Source organism: Homo sapiens, chromosome 11, assembly GCF_000001405.40.
Source record: "Homo sapiens chromosome 11, GRCh38.p14 Primary Assembly".
Classification (NCBI taxonomy): Eukaryota; Metazoa; Chordata; class Mammalia; order Primates; family Hominidae; genus Homo; species Homo sapiens.
This window is the reverse complement of record NC_000011.10, coordinates 61,520,140-61,536,712: the sequence shown is the minus strand read 5'-3', so window position 1 is coordinate 61,536,712 and position 16,573 is coordinate 61,520,140. Positions and strand designations below refer to the sequence as shown.

Genomic DNA, 16,573 nt, shown 5'->3' with positions numbered 1-16,573 from the left:
TCCACAGTTGCATGGTCTGTGGTGGGCAAGGCTGAAAGTCCCCAGAGAGTGGGGTCAGGTCTTTCACTGAGTGGCACAAATGCTGTCAGGCGCTGAGCCCATGTGCAGGGGTACTGGAGGAGCGGAGTCTGCCACCCCTGACCCACCTGGGCACTACAGGAGCTGTGACTTCCTGAGCCAGGATCTCAAGGCTGGGCTGCAGGGCAGTCAGAGGGCCACTGGGAGGGCCGGGGGCCAGGGGCGAGAAGGCACACAGGGGGTGGCTGGCGTCCTCTGAACGCCCACTAAGAAGCTGAGACTGGTGCTGGGAAAGGTGTGAAGCGTGAGGGAGCAGAAGCAGGCTGGAAACGAGATTTCACATCACCCATGTGTTAATGAACCGGCTCCATTGTCACCCACAGTCTATTTTTACCTCCTTGCCACTTAGGTCTCACTCCATGTTTAACACACCCATCCCTTCTGATCTTCACATCAGCTTGTCCCCTGCCTTCCTGGGAAAGGCGGGTGTGGGGGTGGAGGCCGCGTGCCCTCGCCACCACCCAGCCTGACTTTCCGAGTGGACCGTGCCATTCCCACCTCGTCATGCCCACCCATCCTGGAAACATTTCTCATGGCCACTGGGGTGCTTCTCGGGTGGTGGGCTGCCACAGGGGTCCAGAATCCAATGCTTCCTTCCCAGCAGACTCTCCCCTTCCCAAAGCTTGGCACCAGCACCACCCACTGGGCACCTGGCAGCTTAGGGCCCCACCCCTCTGAGCTCCTGGACCCTCAGAACTTGGAGTGGTGGCCTTGGAGCGGCTGTCCCTCCCTCTTCAGCCTTTCCTTCTAGACCCAGGGTCTGCCCTTCTGCCCCCAGCCCCACCTTTCCCTCCCCAGCTGACCCCTTGACCAGATGTCTCTGGAGGAAGGGGTGGTGGCCCTTGGCTGTCACCGGGGAGGACACTCAGCCCCCTTGGTCTGTGAGCAGCAGGCTCATGGGAGACAGCGTCCCGGGAGGAGGAGTGGCCATTCCAGGTTCCAAGCAGCGTGGGAGTGTGTCCAACAAGCAGCGGGAGATGGGAGGGCCAGTCACTGCCTCTGTCCCCACGATTCTTGGTGTCCCTGAAGTCCCCCATCTGGGATCCTTCAGCTCCTGGGCCTCGGCACCACACTTCAGACTGCGCTCCCGGGAGGGAGGGAGGCCCTGGCTCCACGCCCTGCTGCGCCCATTCCACCCTCAGCCACTCTGCTCGTGTCCACCCCCTCATGCTGTCTGCCATCGTTTCACCACTGCTCTTTGGGATCCAAATGGTTTCCACCGCGGCCCACCCCCACCCCAAGTGGGGGACAGGGCAAGGCGGGGACCAGGCCACCCCCATTGCTCTCCCTACTCTGAAGCCACCATGTTCCTCTGTCACGGTGTGTGTCCCCCGCCTCCTCTCTGCCTCTCCTGTTGGCCGCACGCTCCTCCCTGTCCCCTCGTCCACCCGGCAGCCTTCGCCCGTCTCTGACTAACTTTCTTGGCCTCTCTCTCCTTCTGTCTCCTTTCTCCCATCTGCTCCTCACAGGGCTGCCCTGGGCCGGTGATGGGCCCCTCGGCCTCTCCCTCTGCCTCTCTCTGTGCCTCTCACCTCTGTCTCTCTGTCCTGTGACCTCCGACAGCTTCAGTGGCGCTGACTATCTTTCCCAGGCTGCTTGGCAGCTGTGCCGACGCTGCAGCGTGGCCAAATAACTCTAACGTTCTCATATCTTCAGCAGTCAATCTCACACTCTCCCTGCTCTTCCACTCTGTTTCTAACCTGACTTTACCTCTCCAGCTGTTTCGGGCTCCTTTCCTTCCCCCTGCCTGCCCGTGTGAGCACGTGTCCTCTCGTGTGTGTGTGTGTGTGTATGTGGTGCGTGCGTGTCCACATGTCCATGTGTGCCATGGCCCTCTGGGAGGGGCGCCCGCGTGTCGCTGGGTGGAGTGGGCGTTTCCGTGTTGTAGAGGCAGGGCCAGGTTGTCACAGCAGGTGTATCGTGCTTCTGATAATCAGGATGTTGGGCCCTGAAACCACTCCCTGCCCTTTCCGTTTCAGTTTGTCTCCCTTCACGTGCACACGTGGCATGCCTGGGTCTCCCCAGTGCATCTCCTCTCGGGATCCCTGCGTGCCATCGCTGTATGTGTGTCGTCACTGCTGCTGTGGTTGGCCTGACTGTGGCCTCTGCCATCCTCTCCCTGCCCCTCTGGATGTCTGTGGGGCTCATGTGCATGTGTGTGTGTACATATGCACGCACGTGCGTGTGTGCGTGCGTGTGCGTGTGTGTATGCGCATGTGTGCGTGCGTGTGTACATGTGTGTGCATGCATGTGCGTGTGTGTGTGCGCACGTGCACCCTGCTTTGGGATCCTGATGTCTCCCCTCCAGGGCCTGGCATATTCCATGCATGTCTGTCTGTGCCTGTCGTGGTCACCTGTGTGCTGGAGGCTGGTCTCTACCAGAGGGCCATGGCTCATGTCCACCCTCAGCGTGTGGCTCCCAGTTTGTGGCTGTGTGCTCTCAAAGCTGTTCTATTTTAGCCTGTCCTGAGCCTCATGCTACTGGTCCCCCGTCTCCTCCTCCCTACCTACCCCTACCTCTCTTCCTCCTCATGGGACATTCCATCCTGGTCCCTGGGCAGGCTTTTAGTGCCCCCTTCCTGACCCCCAGCTGAACGGAGCCTGGGCTCACCACCCAGCCATTGGGTCAAAGAACCCAGCATCCTGGGAACGGCATGGAGTCAGGTACAGACAGGGCTTCTCGGTGGTGCCCGTCTTTCTGTGACCCTGGGTGAGAGCCTTACCAAATGCACAGTCTTCAGCAAGTGGGAGAAGGATGGGAACTGAGGAGCAAGGGGGTGTAGGCTCACCCTATCCAATATGGGGCCATTAAACTAAATGAGCTTACATTCAACAAAATTAAAATTTCAGCTCTCAGCCACACTGGCCACATTGCAAATGCTCAAGTGCACACGTGTGGCATGTGGCTGCTCCACTGGACAGCACAAATACAGAACACTCTGTCACTGTGGAGAGTTGTCCTGACCTCACCTGGTCAGTCTCACGTCTGGAGGGTGGGAAGAGAACTCTTGATGAGCCCAAGCAAACACAGGTGGGGCATCTGGGAAACAGACATTCTGGGCGTGTTTGCAGAGGGTAATGACGCGGAGAGGCACCTGGACACACCACACCACGGTGGAGCCTCCCCCTTCCAGGCTGGGGGCGGATGGGATAGAACAAGCCTCTGAGGACTGGGGGCAGTGGCCACCTCAGAGACCGACTATGCAAGCCAATGACTGGAGGGTGGGGGGTTTCTGGGGAACAGGAAGAATGGGGACACCCCCCAAAATATCCCCTATAGGAGTAGTTAAGCCACAGTCGCCTGGGGTAGAGGCTGCAAGGAGAATGGGCCCCGGGCATGGGTCTCCAGGGAAAACCAGGTGTCCACGTGGACTGGAGTACCGCTCCTGCCGGCCCGCCGGGCATGGCAGCTGCTGGGGTCTTCAGAGAAGGTCCTGCCACCCCCCAGGCCGGGGTGCCCAACGCAGCTCACTTCCCAGCCCAATCTCATTTGGACTCCCCTGCCCTCAGGTTGCCTGCAGGAGGGAAGGCGGTGAACACAGCCCCCGTGCCAGGCCAGACACCCCACGATGAGTCCGACCGCCGGACCGAGCCACGTTCCTCCGTCTCAGACCTCGTCAACTCCCTCACCAGCGAGATGCTCATGGTGAGAATGAGGGAGCCTGCGCTGCTCCAAGGAACTGGGCTGGGAGGCCAGGGGCAGGAAGAAGAGGGATGTGTGTGGGAATGATTAACAGCATGGGAGTGGCCAGGCAGGGAACTGGGTCAGAAGCAGCCTGGAGAGCCAGGCCCAGCATGGTGGCCACTCGGCGCTTGGTGACTGAGCGTCCAAGGCCTGGGTTTGCTTCCCAGCTCTTTCACCAAAATATCTTCTCCATGTCTCAGTTTCTTCCTTTGACAAGTGAAAATAAGAATACCCATCCTGCTTGGATCCCTTTGTGGATTGAGAAGGGGCCAAAGAAAACCCACTCATGCAAGATACTTTCAGGATCCTAGAGGGAAAGGCTGGTGGGCAGAGGACTCAGGGCAGAAGATGTCCCCTCCTGAGAGTGATGTCCCCTTAATTGGAGGTCTGGGGTAGAATGCCTAGCCCAGTGACCTGCCCCATTCCCATGGCTGGTGGCCCCTGAGAACAGGAGAGCAGGAATCCACTGGTCCCGGCTCCTCTGAGGGGACAGCTGTGATGGGGGCTCCTGTCCACACCCACGCCCCACCAGATGCCACCAACCCTGTGGGATCCTAGTTCTAGGTTGTTTGGCCCAGACAGAGGTTGTGGTTCCCATGGTGCCCCCAGGGGGGCAGCAGTGAGTCACAGCCACTTGCCCCACCTGTACTTTCCAAAGAGGCCCTGGAGGGAGAAAACTGGGGATTAGCTCAGAAGTCTCAGGAAGGCTTGAAGAGGCGATGAGGCTGGGAACCCAGCACCTGCTCTGTTCCTACTGGACTTGACCTGGGACACTTCATCTCCTTGGATTCAACCCCTCCCTTCTGTAGAGAGAAAGAAGTAGGCTTGGGAGCTCCCAGCCCTCCCCTACTGCCCTGGCACCAGAGCCCCCACCCTTCTGCCATGTAGGGTTCCAGCCAGCTCTAACCATCCATCCCCACTGCCCCTTCTAGCCTGGCGTTTCTCAAATTGCTACGTGCACAGGAATCAGCCGGGAACCTTGGTAAAATGCAGATTCCTGGTCAATGGGCCTTCGGTGGGGCCTAAGAGCCTGCTTTTTTTTTTTTTTTTTTTTTTTTGAGACAGAATCACTCTGTCCCCCAGGCTGGAGTGCAGTGGCACAATCTCAACTCACTGCAACATCTGCCTCCCGAGCTCAAGTGATTCTCCTCCCTCAGCCTCCCGAGTAGCTGGGATTACAGTAGTACACCACCACGCCCGGCTAATTTTTCTATTTTTAGTAGAGACGGGGTTTCACCATGTTGGCCAGGCCAGTCTCAAACTCTTAGCCTCAAGTGATCCACCTGCCTCGGCCTCCCAAAGTGCTGTGATTACAGGCATGAGCCACTGCGCCCGGTCTATCCTGTGGTTTTCTTGAATCCACATTAGAGCATCAGATTTTCCACATCCTAGATCTGGTCACCTTGGGCCTCCCCACCTCTCCCCTTCTCCCTGCCCACCAGGCCCCTGTGTGTCTGGCCCTCCACTGCCCTCCTTCCATCTTCCCCCCCCCAGGAAGACTGGCCCCAGCTGTCTTCTCTTCTGGATGGGCCATTGCCACAGCCCACCCTGCCTCCCTGCACAGCCCCTTAATTGGTTACAGCTTCCTGGCAGCCAGGTTCCCAGAAGGGACAGCCCCTTCCCAGCCAGCTTGCCTGCCCCTTGCTGCCCCCAGGGAAGGGCCGACAGCTGCAGCCAGCGGAAGGAAGGGCAGGCCTCATCTCCCTCTCCTGTGCTGGGAGGATGCTCAGAGGTGGGAGGGCAGAGTCTAATTGCACAGCTCTGTGCCAATGCTAGGTCGTTGATGTTAACAGCCATGATAAGATAAGCAGGGCAGAATCAGCCCACTGTGACCTCAGCCTGTCCTGGTCTCTGGACCCTGGGCTGTGGAATCTGGGGGTCAAGAGACAAGAGTTAAGCACCCAGAGCTGGCCAAAGAAGGAGCTGAGGGGCAGAGGTGTCTGAGAAGAGGCGAGGCCACACCTGCTTCTGGGCACCTCCTGCCCTGGTATAGGGGTGGCTTGCTGCTTTTCGAGGCTGACTTCTGCTGGTGCAAGCGCTCAGGAAGCACCTTCCCTGACTGTGATGGGGTGGCCAACCTGGCTGCCACAGAGATGGCTCTGTCCCAGCTGAGTAAGTAGGGCTCAGGGTTGTGGCTTAAGAAGGCTGGGAGTGGGCATAGAGCTGCCACCCCTTTCCCAGGTGAAACCTACCTGGCCAGCCCAGGCCTTCCCAAGACCACACTGTTTGGCAGCCAGGAGCCAAGGGACCAGAGGGACCTCAGGTGGGGCTGAGGCCAGCTGGGCTTCAGTCACCAGCAACTCCACCCCAACTTCAGAAGCAAGGGGGAGGGCGAGTGATCTTTGCTGGCACTGTCTACCCATGCTATGCCCCAGGTGCTCGATCCCTCTGCCAGTGGGTCAGGTCGCGGGGCAGAACTCTAGAAGGAACCCCTTCTAGCTCTCCCAGGACCCCGCAAAGTAGGTCTCATGGTCCCCACTCTGCAGATGTAAAAACAGGGTCAAAGGGTGTGGGGCTGGCATGAGCAGGGAAAAGAGCGTCGGGAAAAAGCAGGCTGTGGGCAGGAAAGCCACATTCTCAATGGGCCTGCGGTGGCGCTTGCAGGTTTGTCTGGATCGGCCAAGGGGTGGGGGCTGGAGGGAACATCTTCTGCTGTAAGGCAGCTCGGTGCCCCCAACTAGGCAGGACCGGGGTAAAGCCTCAGACTGTAGATCTGAGGGCAAGAGCAAGGCGCAGGTGGAAGGGCACTCAGGATTCCTGGCCGATAAACTGGGTTCCATTCCCACTGGCCATTCAATCGCAGGTGACTTGAGGCAAGTGACCTAACCTGTCTGTGCTCGCAGCCACAGTTGGAACACCGGGAAACTGTTCCAGCTGTGTTCCACGTGTTCCAGCGGGAGTGCTTGCCTCATTGGGATGTTGTAAGAGGTCAGTGAGGACAAGGCACAGGGCACAGGGCAGGGTCTGGTGAGGTGGGCGGCCAGCCAGTCTAAGATAGTTACTGCTGTGAGTGTGAGGCCGGGTGTGTGGCTCATGCCTGTAATCTCCGCACTTTGGGAAGCTGAGGCGGGCATATCACTTGTGGCCAGGAATTAGAGACTCGCCTGACCAACGTGGCAAAACCCTGCCTCTACTAAAAGTACAAAAATCAGCCAGGCGTAGTGGCACGCCCCTGTGGTCCCAGCTACTCAGGAGGCTGAGGCATGAAAATCGCTTGACCTTGGGAGGTGGAGGTGGCAGTGAGCCAGGATTGCACCACTGCACTCCAGCCTTGGCAACAGAGCGAGACCCTGGCTCAAAAAAACAAAAAACTATCATGAGGGTGATTCCGACGCTTTTCACCTGGCACGGTGTCTGTGGGTCTTTGCCGGCTTGAGGGGAAACCTCAGTGTTGCCCTGGGGTGTGGGCCTGCTTTAGTGGAAAGAGCAGGATTTTGAGTCAGAGAGGGTTCCTACTGCCGTCAGCCTTGGCCATGTGACTTCACCTCTCTGAACCAGTCTCTTCAGCTAGAGGGTGGTGACACCTGCCTCGCCTGGCTATTGTCAGGATTCAGTAAGGAGACGGCGATGCGAGAGTCGCTGGTCATGGTAAGAGCCCACTTGATGCATTATTATTATCTGTATTATTTAGTCTTTCAGAGCCTAGGGCTGCCTCTCCAGGATGAAGGAAAGGGCACAAAGCAGGTTTCTACAGGGGAAGTTGGGGAGAGAAGAGATGCCTGCAGTTTTTCTTAACTGTGGTACCCAGGGTCCTACTTCTGTCCCTCATCCAGTCATCACGGGAGATTTTCGAGCCAGGGTACCTGAGCCATACAGCCCCCTAACTGGGTCTGTTGTGGTCAGTGGTCTGGGGCTCAGGCGGCTGGGGGGTGGGTAGGGTTCTAAAACCTCCTAGGTACTACTGGTGTGCTCACAGGTTCAGACACGTGGCTGGGAGACCCTCCTCCCAGCTGCTTCCTGTGGTTCAATGTCAGAACGGGATGAGATGCTCACCCTGCCTCTGTGTGACTGTCTGTTGCTGGGTCAGGCCATGCGCCCTCCCTCCCAGCAGTCCTCAGCCCCCATGGACGGTACAGTCATCTGAGGCGCCTTTTACACAGCACTGATGCCCAGGCCCACACCAGCCCCATCGTCAAACTGCTTGGGGACGGGGCCTGGGGAGTCTGCAATTTTCTTGTCCCTAGTGATTCTGCCTTACACAAACAGACGTTGCTCCTGAAAACTTGCCTCTCTCATTTTGTAAATCACACCATTCTCCGCACCCTAGAGAGTCACTTTCCAAAGAATTGTTGCGGTAAACTCTTTTGTGATGTGAACAGCCTCCCTCATCTGCTGTGTAGCCCAGGTTTGTGTCGGTGCCTCCCACAGTTGGCCCTACCGTGTCACAAGAAGGCAGGGAGGTCTGGGGGGCTCAGGAACCCCAGCACGCGCCAGGGAAGCTGCAGCCAGGAAGGCGAGGCAGCTGAGCTGGAGCTTGGGGCAGGCAGCAGACCCAGGGCTGCGAGGAGAGCCTGGGAAGTGAGTGTCGTGCATACCACTCTGAGGTTCAGGAGACAGGGCTGTCTCGGCTCTGCCCTCCCCCTTCCCCTCCCCTCCTGGGAGACCCTGGTCAAGGCACCTGCCCTCTGAGCCTGAGCAGCGTCCGTGGGATGTGAGTGTGGGCTGGGCCACCGCCTCTGGCCTCTCACCCGTGCTAGCCAGCGGTGGGGACATGGGGGAAGCAGAATCCTCCCCAAACCCTGCCGGCCTCTCCCCCACCCCCAGCTCTCCCCAGGCTCCGAGGAGGATGAGGCCCACGAGGGTTGCAGCCGAGAGAACCTGGGCCGGATCCAGTTCAGTGTCGGCTACAACTTCCAGGAGTCCACGCTCACCGTGAAGATCATGAAGGCCCAGGAGCTGCCGGCCAAGGACTTCAGCGGCACCAGCGACCCCTTCGTCAAGATCTACCTGCTGCCCGACAAGAAGCACAAGCTGGAGACCAAGGTGAAGCGGAAGAACCTGAACCCCCACTGGAACGAGACCTTCCTCTTTGAAGGTGAGTCTAGTGCCACCTTCCCCCGCCATGGTCACCTCTTGCTGTCTACCATCCCCCTACCCAACCACACTTGTGGCCACATGCACAGACACATATGTGTACACACACCTGCAGGCCCACAAATGCACAAACACACATGCAAGCAGATACACTTATGTGCACACCTGCATGTGTGCACAGGCACAGATCCACACATGTGCTCTCGCACACGCCCACACAGGCAACGTCCTGGCCCGGTTAACCTGATGCGTTTTGTGTCTAGTTGGGATCAGGTCACAGGAGCCCAATGGAGCCAGCATCACAGCCAGAGGCCGAGGAGGGAAGCTGGGCCACCGCCTGGTGTTTCAGCCCAGCCACAGAGCTCATCCTGAGGAGGGCAGGGAGGGAGGGAGGCACCCGTAGGACTCAGAGCTGGAGCACTCTGGAGCCACCAGATCATAGTGGTTCAGTGCACAGGCTGTGGCCCAGGCTGCCTGGGTTTGAATCCCAGCTCTTGCCACTTACTCGCTGCGTGACCTTGGGCAAGTTCCTGAGCCTCCCTATGACTTGGTTTCCTCATCTACAAAATAGAGATAATAACAGCGAGGGTTCAATAAATGAGTGAATTGTAAAAGCACTTAGAACAGTGCCTGACACCCAGCAAATGCTTAATACCAGGTTGTTAAACACACTCCATCTGTTGCCGTTCTCTGACCCCCTCCCCCGCATGGGACGGGAACCACAGCTCTGAACCATGCCTGGAGGCCGCTGAGACAAATGTCCTTTCTCTCTCCTGCAAGCCCTCTCTGAAGGCCGGTCTTTATCTCTTATCTCTGAGGATTCAAGGTAACCAGGAAGCTGGGCGTGTGATTAAGGAGTGATTTCTATCCCAGGGCCTTTGGGTGCCAGGACCCCGCTTAGACAAACCGTAACCCTTTGCCAATGGCCCCCGGTTCAACCAGGGAGAGTAAATCCCTACCCCAGCTGCCCCAAGCCCTAGCCTTCCAGAATCTTCACCGTGTACCCCAGGGACCTTTCCCCACCTGCCTTCCCAGCCACTTAGCACCCCACCTCTTCTGCAAGATGACAGCCAGGTCACCCACTAAATGGCACTGAGGGTGAGCAGTGAGTGTCCATGTGTTTCTGGACGCCCTCCTTTGCAGGCACCATGAGGGCCCGTTTAGAGATAGCTCAACCAGCAAGAGGTTCAGCTGTCTGGAGGTATATGTAGGCAGCTGGCAGGGCGAAGTTTTTGAGCAGAACTCCAATCCTCCGGTCTCTTCCACGAGCATGTACCCAGCAACAGCCATGAGCTGGGCACTCTTCTACGTACTGGGGATGTAGAAAAGAATGAGGCACCATTATGGCCCTCAGGGCATTTCTGGCCTAATGGAGACCCAGATGTGTAGATAACTCAGCCACACACAGCATGACAGGAGCTGCAGGAAGCCAGTATGAGCTCCCTTTGGTGGTGCTGAAGAACATTTCCCAGAAGAGGGGCCATTCAAAATGGGTTCTGATGGATGAGTAGGAGTTTGCCAGCTAGGAGCCTGCCTCCTCTGGTGTTGATGAGAGCTGACTGGGGTGCAGTGACCTCTTGGAGCTTCCAATATTCCCAGAACACTTGTCCTCATGCATTTTACCTAAATTGATGCCAAGGGTCCCCTGGGCAAGGTCCCTGGGAGGCTCTGAAATAAGCAAGACACAGCTTCCCACAATATGAGGAAAGGGACCCTGAACAAATTCAGAGTCTCCTCTTCCAGCTCACCTGCTCCTGTCAGAGCTCCTCGGTGCTTCCAGAGTCTCTGGGGGAAGGTGCTGGAATCTTCTAGAGCTCCTCCTTCCCTTCATCTTCTGCACCAGCCAGGCTGAGGTTCCAGGCGTCCTCCTTCCTGCTCATACCTGGTTTCAGAATCTCCTCACCTCAGGCCTCCAGGCTGGCCTGTGCCCCCCGGCACCTCCTGGGCCAGTCCCACCTCTGACTAAGCCTCCAAAGAGCTAATGACTCCTGGCTTCAGACCTTCACCTGGCCCCCTCTTCCCTTCTGCATCCCATCCAAGCCCCTTCTGCTCCTCTCCCTCTGACCTTAGCGGACACCTCACCTCAGCACAGTCCTGCTGCTCCATCAGGCCATTTCATTGGCATTGATTCATCTGTTCAATTATGCATTCACTTAACAAATATGTATTGAGTGCCTACTATGTGCCAGAAGCGGTGTTAGGCACCGAGAGCCAGTGGTTGGTAACAGAGAGGCCTTTGTGGGAATCCTTGCCTTCCGGGAGAGCCAGACAAAAATCAGGGAAAGAGACAGAGAAATCTATTACCGCGTGTGTTATGTTTTGCGGAAAAAAAGGTGCTAGAGCGGATAATGGGATCCGACACTCTCTGGGGTGCCAGGAAAGAATGCTGAGACCTGAAGGATGAGAGTAGCCAGGAGGGGGGTCATGATGGGGCCAGTGTGCGCCCGGCCCTGAGGCGGGAGGAGTCGGGGTGTTGAAGGGCCAGGAAGGAGGCCGATGTGGCTGGAGCCCAGTCATTGAGTGAAGAGAGGTCACAAGCCAAGCAGGGAGAGGACAGCCGGGCCAAATTGTGGAAGGACTTGAAGCCAAGGTAGGGTGCCCGGCTTTTATTCTAAGTGCACTGGGAGCCATTGAAAGGCTTTAAGCAGGAGCATATCATGATGGAATTTCTATTTTTAAAAGGTCTCTCTGGCTGCCGCATTGAGAATGGACGGTAGGAGAAAGCGTGGATGCGGGGAGGGCGGTTTGGAGACACTTGCAGCTGCCTAGGCAAGAGGTGCCAGCGGCTCGGATGAGGGAGGTGGCAGTAGAGAAGGGGACGCTGCGGTAGGAAGGATGGAAGCACAGGCAGGAGGAGAGGGGTGTGGAGTCACAGGACACTTGTCACCTCCTGCTTCTGTGCCTTTGCCTTTTCCCTCCCACCGATGCTTCCCCATGTCCCTCTGCCCTGAGTCCTGGGGCCTGCGTACTGGCAGCTGTGGCCACCTAGACAGAGCCACTTGCCCAGACCCGCCTCGGGACGATTGGCAGAGGCTGCTCAGCCACTGAGATGGACACAAGGTGCATGGGTGAATGGATGATCGCAGTTCTACTCTTTACTAGCTGGGAGTCTGGGCAAGTACTTTAAGCCGTCTGAGCCTCATCTGTAAGATGGACGAGATGCCATTCACCTTGGAGAATTGTTGAGGGAATCCCATGAGACGGTGACAGTTCTTGCTAGCACTTCAGTAAGGTCTAATTGCAATCCGGTGTGCCTGCTGGCCCGGTGGGGTGGCAGCGGGAGGGCACAGGGCCTGCCTCCTCTTCCCAGGGCCTTCCTTGCCTCCCGGGCCCCGTGCAGCCCCTCTGTCCCCCTCTTCACTCACACTCATCTATACCCCCAGGTTTTCCCTATGAGAAGGTGGTGCAGAGGATCCTCTACCTCCAAGTCCTGGACTATGACCGCTTCAGCCGCAACGACCCCATTGGGGAGGTGTCCATCCCCCTTAACAAGGTGGACCTGACCCAGATGCAGACCTTCTGGAAGGATCTGAAGCCATGCAGCGATGGGAGTGTAAGGCCCCATGGGTGGGTCTTAGCTGGACAGGCAGCAGGGCAGGGCTGGGAGATCTGGTCCCAGACCCTTGTCAACCTTAGGAAGGCCAGGAGGGCTGTGGGAGAGGGTGCAGATGGGTGGACCCGATGGAGCTCAGCCCTCGCTAGCAGTCAGAACATTGGTGCTTGGCACTTGGGGGGACTCACCCGATCTGTAAGAAGGAACCTAGGGCTATGTTCAGGGAACAGGGAGGCGATGGTGACCCTGGGAGGGGCAGTACACACACCTGCCAGATGGGGGGAGACAGAGTGAGACAGAGGTGACAGACAGGGGCATGGGTAAGCACCAAGGTCAGGGTAGAGGGGACCTGGGGGCAGCTAGGCCAATCAGAGAGCTCTGCTAGCCTAGTTCCCCACACCCCTCCTGTCGTGCCTCCCAGGGGAGCCGAGGGGAGCTGCTCTTGTCTCTCTGCTACAACCCCTCTGCCAACTCCATCATCGTGAACATCATCAAAGCCCGGAACCTCAAAGCCATGGACATCGGGGGCACATCAGGTACGGGGCTTCTCCAGCAGAGGATGGGCGGGCCGGGGAGGTGCTGGTGACACAAGGTTTACACCGGATGTGGAGAGCAGGGTCTGCAGTGGTCCTCACCCCAACCCGCCACACCCCGACCTCCAGTCCTCACTCCTTACCCTAGAGACCCTGGGGCCCCCCTTTGGAGCACCCTCATCTCGGACTCTGTTCAAGAATCAAGATGTCAGCATCATCCTGGATTATGTTCTTCCAAGAATCAGAAAGAGGGAACATTGTGGGAAGACCTGGGTTCTATCCCCAGCTCTGATGCTACTTGTCTGAGATTTTGGGCAAGACCTGGCCTCTCTGGGGCTCAGTTTCCTCATTGGTAGTAATAGGAGGGCCCCAGGTGATCGCTAAGGTCCATCTGCTGATTCTCCCAGGTCCCTCTTGTTCTTGCCTGGGTCTTTCCTTGCCTCTGGGGAAAGCACACGGCCCTCCTGCCTCAGCTTCCATTCCTGGAAGGGGAAAAGGATCCTAGGAAGTCCCTCCCCCACGGTCCCTCTAACCCTTCCCCACTCCCTCCCCTAGACCCCTACGTGAAGGTATGGCTGATGTACAAGGACAAGCGGGTGGAGAAGAAGAAGACGGTGACGATGAAGAGGAACCTGAACCCCATCTTCAATGAGTCCTTCGCCTTCGATATCCCCACGGAGAAGCTGAGGGAGACGACCATCATCATCACTGTCATGGACAAGGACAAGCTCAGCCGCAATGACGTCATCGGCAAGGTAGGGGCGAGGCAGGTGGTGTGGTGCACCTGCTGGCACCAGTGAGGCTCCGTTCCTTAAAAGAAGCAGCGGGGGTAGTGGACGGGCACAGGCTGGACACCAGGAGAGATTGGGATCAGTCTCCTCTCCTCTCAGGCCTCTGTTTCTTCATCCAAAAATAAGGGGATGAGATGACCCCCTCCCTAGGGTTCCTCTCTGAGTGTCCTCCTATGGGTAAGTCAGCTCAGGACAGACTGCCAGCTGAGCAGGGAGAAAAGGAGTGCAAGAGAGGAATGGCCTGGATCTCAAAAGAAAGGTTTACTGGACAGGATGATGACGTTGGAGCAGTATTGCCCGGGGTCCCATCTGCACAGGGTGAGCTGCGTGGGGCAGTGTTGGGAGCTGCAGTCAGACTCCAAAGACCTCGTTTCAGTTCCCACTCCATCTGCCGATAAACAACCATATCACCTTGGGCAAGTGGCTCGGCCTCTCCAAGCTTTAGTGTTCTCATCTGTAAAATGGAGCAACTAATACTGTCCCTGTAGAACTTTACAGGGTGGCGTAAGAATTGCTTGAGGTATGTGGATGTTCTTCTTGTAGAAAGTTGGCCGGGCACAGTGGCTCATGCCTGTAATCCCAGCACTTTGGGAGGCCAAGACGGGTGGATCATCTGCGGTCGGGAGTTTGAGACCAGCCTGGCCAACATGGTGAAACCCCGTCTCTACTAAAAATAGAAAAATTAGCCGGGCATGGTGGCGGGTGCCTGTAATCCCAGCTACTCAGGAGGCTGTGACAGGAGAATCCCTTGTACCCAGGAGGCAGAGGTTGTAGTGAGCCAAGATTGCAAGACTGCACTCCAGCCTGCGCAACAGAGAAAACTCTGCCTGAAAAAAAAAAAAAAAAAAAAAGTGATCTCTTCATATCACGTAACCAAAAAATTCATACCTGACCTTGAGTTTTCCCAGGACGGGATTCTGTGACATAAACCCTTCCATGCTTCTACCTTAAAATGTCTACTCCTGTGTTTATTTATGGTTTAGTGTTGAGAGCATGGGCTCGGGAGTCAGATTGCCTGGGTCCAAATCCTAGCGTTACTTTTTAACGCTGTAACCTCTCTGAGCCTCATTTTCTCCTCTCAAAATGAGAGTGGGATGGTCCTACCCTTACAATGTGCTGAGAGGATTAAGTAAGATCACACAGGTGAGCTGTTTAGCATAGGACTTGGAACATATGTTAGCTAGTATGATAATAAAGGGGCATGTATATCCATTCAGGCAGGACAGTTTGACCAGGAGTATGTGAGGAACCAGTGCTCAGGGCAGTCATGGAGGAAGGGGAGATGCCAGGAGTGAGTGAGGGGCACATACCTGGGCATTATCCTGTGTGGGGGAAAGGGAAAGGGGGACTGGATACCCACAGGGAAGGGAGCTGAGTTGGAGGCAACCCTCAGACAGATGGGAATGGAGAACTCACCTGCTGGGGTGAGGGAAGCAGCCTGGCCTAAAAGAGGAGAGCTTCCCCTGCTTGCCATCAGGTATGGCACGGGGAGTATGACTGGCCAATCTGTGGTCACAGGTGAGACAACTCCCCAGGACATTGCCACTCATACTCCAGAAAAAGTATGTGGCCCTCCCTGGCCAGGGCTCGGGTCTTGCCAAGCACCCCGTTTGACCAGCTCAGCCCAAAGGCCAAGTGACCATATCTCCTTTGATGTTCTTTTGAAGCTTCGCCTCTTGGTGTCGGATATTCCTTAGATACCAATTAGAGCTCCTTCTGAAACAGGCCTACCTTCTGTTGGCTGAACCAAAGCAAATGTGGATTTGTTCTCACTTTGGCCTGGTAACTTACGGAGCCCAAGGATCTCTGAATCCTTCTGACTCCCAGCTCCTGCTCAGCCCCTGGAAGCCAAGAGTCTGCCCCTTGTCTGCCTGGCATCATCCAAGGCTATCAGTATCATGCTGGGCTGAGGTTGCCATGGGGGCAATCCCAGAGCAGGGCAGGCCCACAGTGGCCCTAGAGCTCCGTGACCTCCGAATAGTTAACCAGCTCCAGCAGGATGGAGCCGCTGGCTGAGAGAACTCACCACACAGAGGCAGGCCACTGTTCCCAGCTGAGCACATGACATGCACCATCCCAGCTATCTGTGAGGCAGGTACAGTCATCAGCCCGCTTTACAGAGGAAGGTCTGGGGCTAAAAGAAGTTCCACCATGTGTTACAGAGCTGGAGCTTGCTCCCCATCCTTTTCGTTTTGTTTCGTTTTGTTTTGTTTTTTGAGATAGAGTCTCACTCTGTCACCCGGGCTGGAGTACAGTGGCACAATCTTGGCTCACTGCAACCTCTGCCTCCTGGGTTCAAGCGATTCTCCTGCCTCAGCCTCCCAAGTAGCTGGGATTACAGGCATCTGCCACCATGCTGGGATAATTTTTGTATTTTTAGTAGAGATGGGGTTTCACCATGTTGGCCAGGCTGGTTGAACTCCTGACCTCAAGCAATCCGCCCGCCTTGGCCTCCTAAAATGCTGGGATTATAGGCAGGAGCCACCGTGCCTGACCTCCCTATCTTTTTTTTTTTTAGACAGAGTCTCACTGTAGTCCAGGCTGGAGTGCAGTGGCACAATCATGGCTGACTGCAGCCTCGACCTCCCCAGGCTCATGTGATCCTCCCACCTCAGTCCCCAAGTGGCTGGGACTCCAGGCACGTACCACCATGCCCAGCTAATTTTTTTGTATTTTTTGTAAAGATGAGGTTTCACCATATTACCCAATCTGGTCTCAAACTCCTGGGCTCAAGTGATTCTCCCACTTTGGCCTCCTACAGTGCTGGGATTACGGGCGTCAGCCACTGTACTCCTCCACTGAGGCCACAACCATCCTTTTTAAAAAAAAAAAAAAATACACTGTTTATTGGCTGGGCGTGGTGGCTCACACCTTTAATCCCAGCACTTTGGGAGGCCAA

The 16,573-nt window shown here is 56.6% G+C and overlaps 1 protein-coding gene across 18 annotated transcripts in view, besides 3 other annotated features; it reads left to right on the top strand.

Moving 5' to 3' along the window:
- SYT7 (synaptotagmin 7) overlaps positions 1-16,573 on the top strand; it is a 74,674-nt gene that overhangs the window by 51,675 nt on the left and 6,426 nt on the right. For 15 of the 18 annotated variants that reach the window (XM_011545343.3, XM_011545340.3, XM_011545337.3 and 12 more), the window contains 5 exons: positions 3,589-3,724; positions 8,528-8,798; positions 12,181-12,350; positions 12,772-12,886; positions 13,439-13,638. In XM_011545343.3, coding sequence (XP_011543645.1) covers positions 3,589-3,724; positions 8,528-8,798; positions 12,181-12,350; positions 12,772-12,886; positions 13,439-13,638 — 892 coding nt within the window. Of the gene's footprint in view, positions 1-274; positions 3,510-3,588; positions 3,725-8,527; positions 8,799-12,180; positions 12,351-12,771; positions 12,887-13,438; positions 14,628-16,573 lie in introns of those variants that run through there. The other 3 variants (NM_001370211.1, NM_001370210.1, XM_005274387.5) reach the window with 2 other exon arrangements.
- Positions 893-1,831: an enhancer, noted in NCBI's record as "H3K4me1 hESC enhancer chr11:61302354-61303292 (GRCh37/hg19 assembly coordinates)". NCBI's record gives its function as "activates a minimal SCP1, AML or CMV promoter by ChIP-STARR-seq in primed H9 embryonic stem cells {active_cell/tissue: H9 hESC(primed)}" and the evidence as "EXISTENCE:reporter gene assay evidence [ECO:0000049][PMID:30033119]".
- Positions 1,832-2,771: an enhancer, noted in NCBI's record as "H3K4me1 hESC enhancer chr11:61301414-61302353 (GRCh37/hg19 assembly coordinates)". NCBI's record gives its function as "activates a minimal SCP1, AML or CMV promoter by ChIP-STARR-seq in naive H9 embryonic stem cells {active_cell/tissue: H9 hESC(naive)}" and the evidence as "EXISTENCE:reporter gene assay evidence [ECO:0000049][PMID:30033119]".
- Positions 6,251-6,750: an enhancer, noted in NCBI's record as "H3K4me1 hESC enhancer chr11:61297435-61297934 (GRCh37/hg19 assembly coordinates)". NCBI's record gives its function as "activates a minimal SCP1, AML or CMV promoter by ChIP-STARR-seq in naive H9 embryonic stem cells {active_cell/tissue: H9 hESC(naive)}" and the evidence as "EXISTENCE:reporter gene assay evidence [ECO:0000049][PMID:30033119]".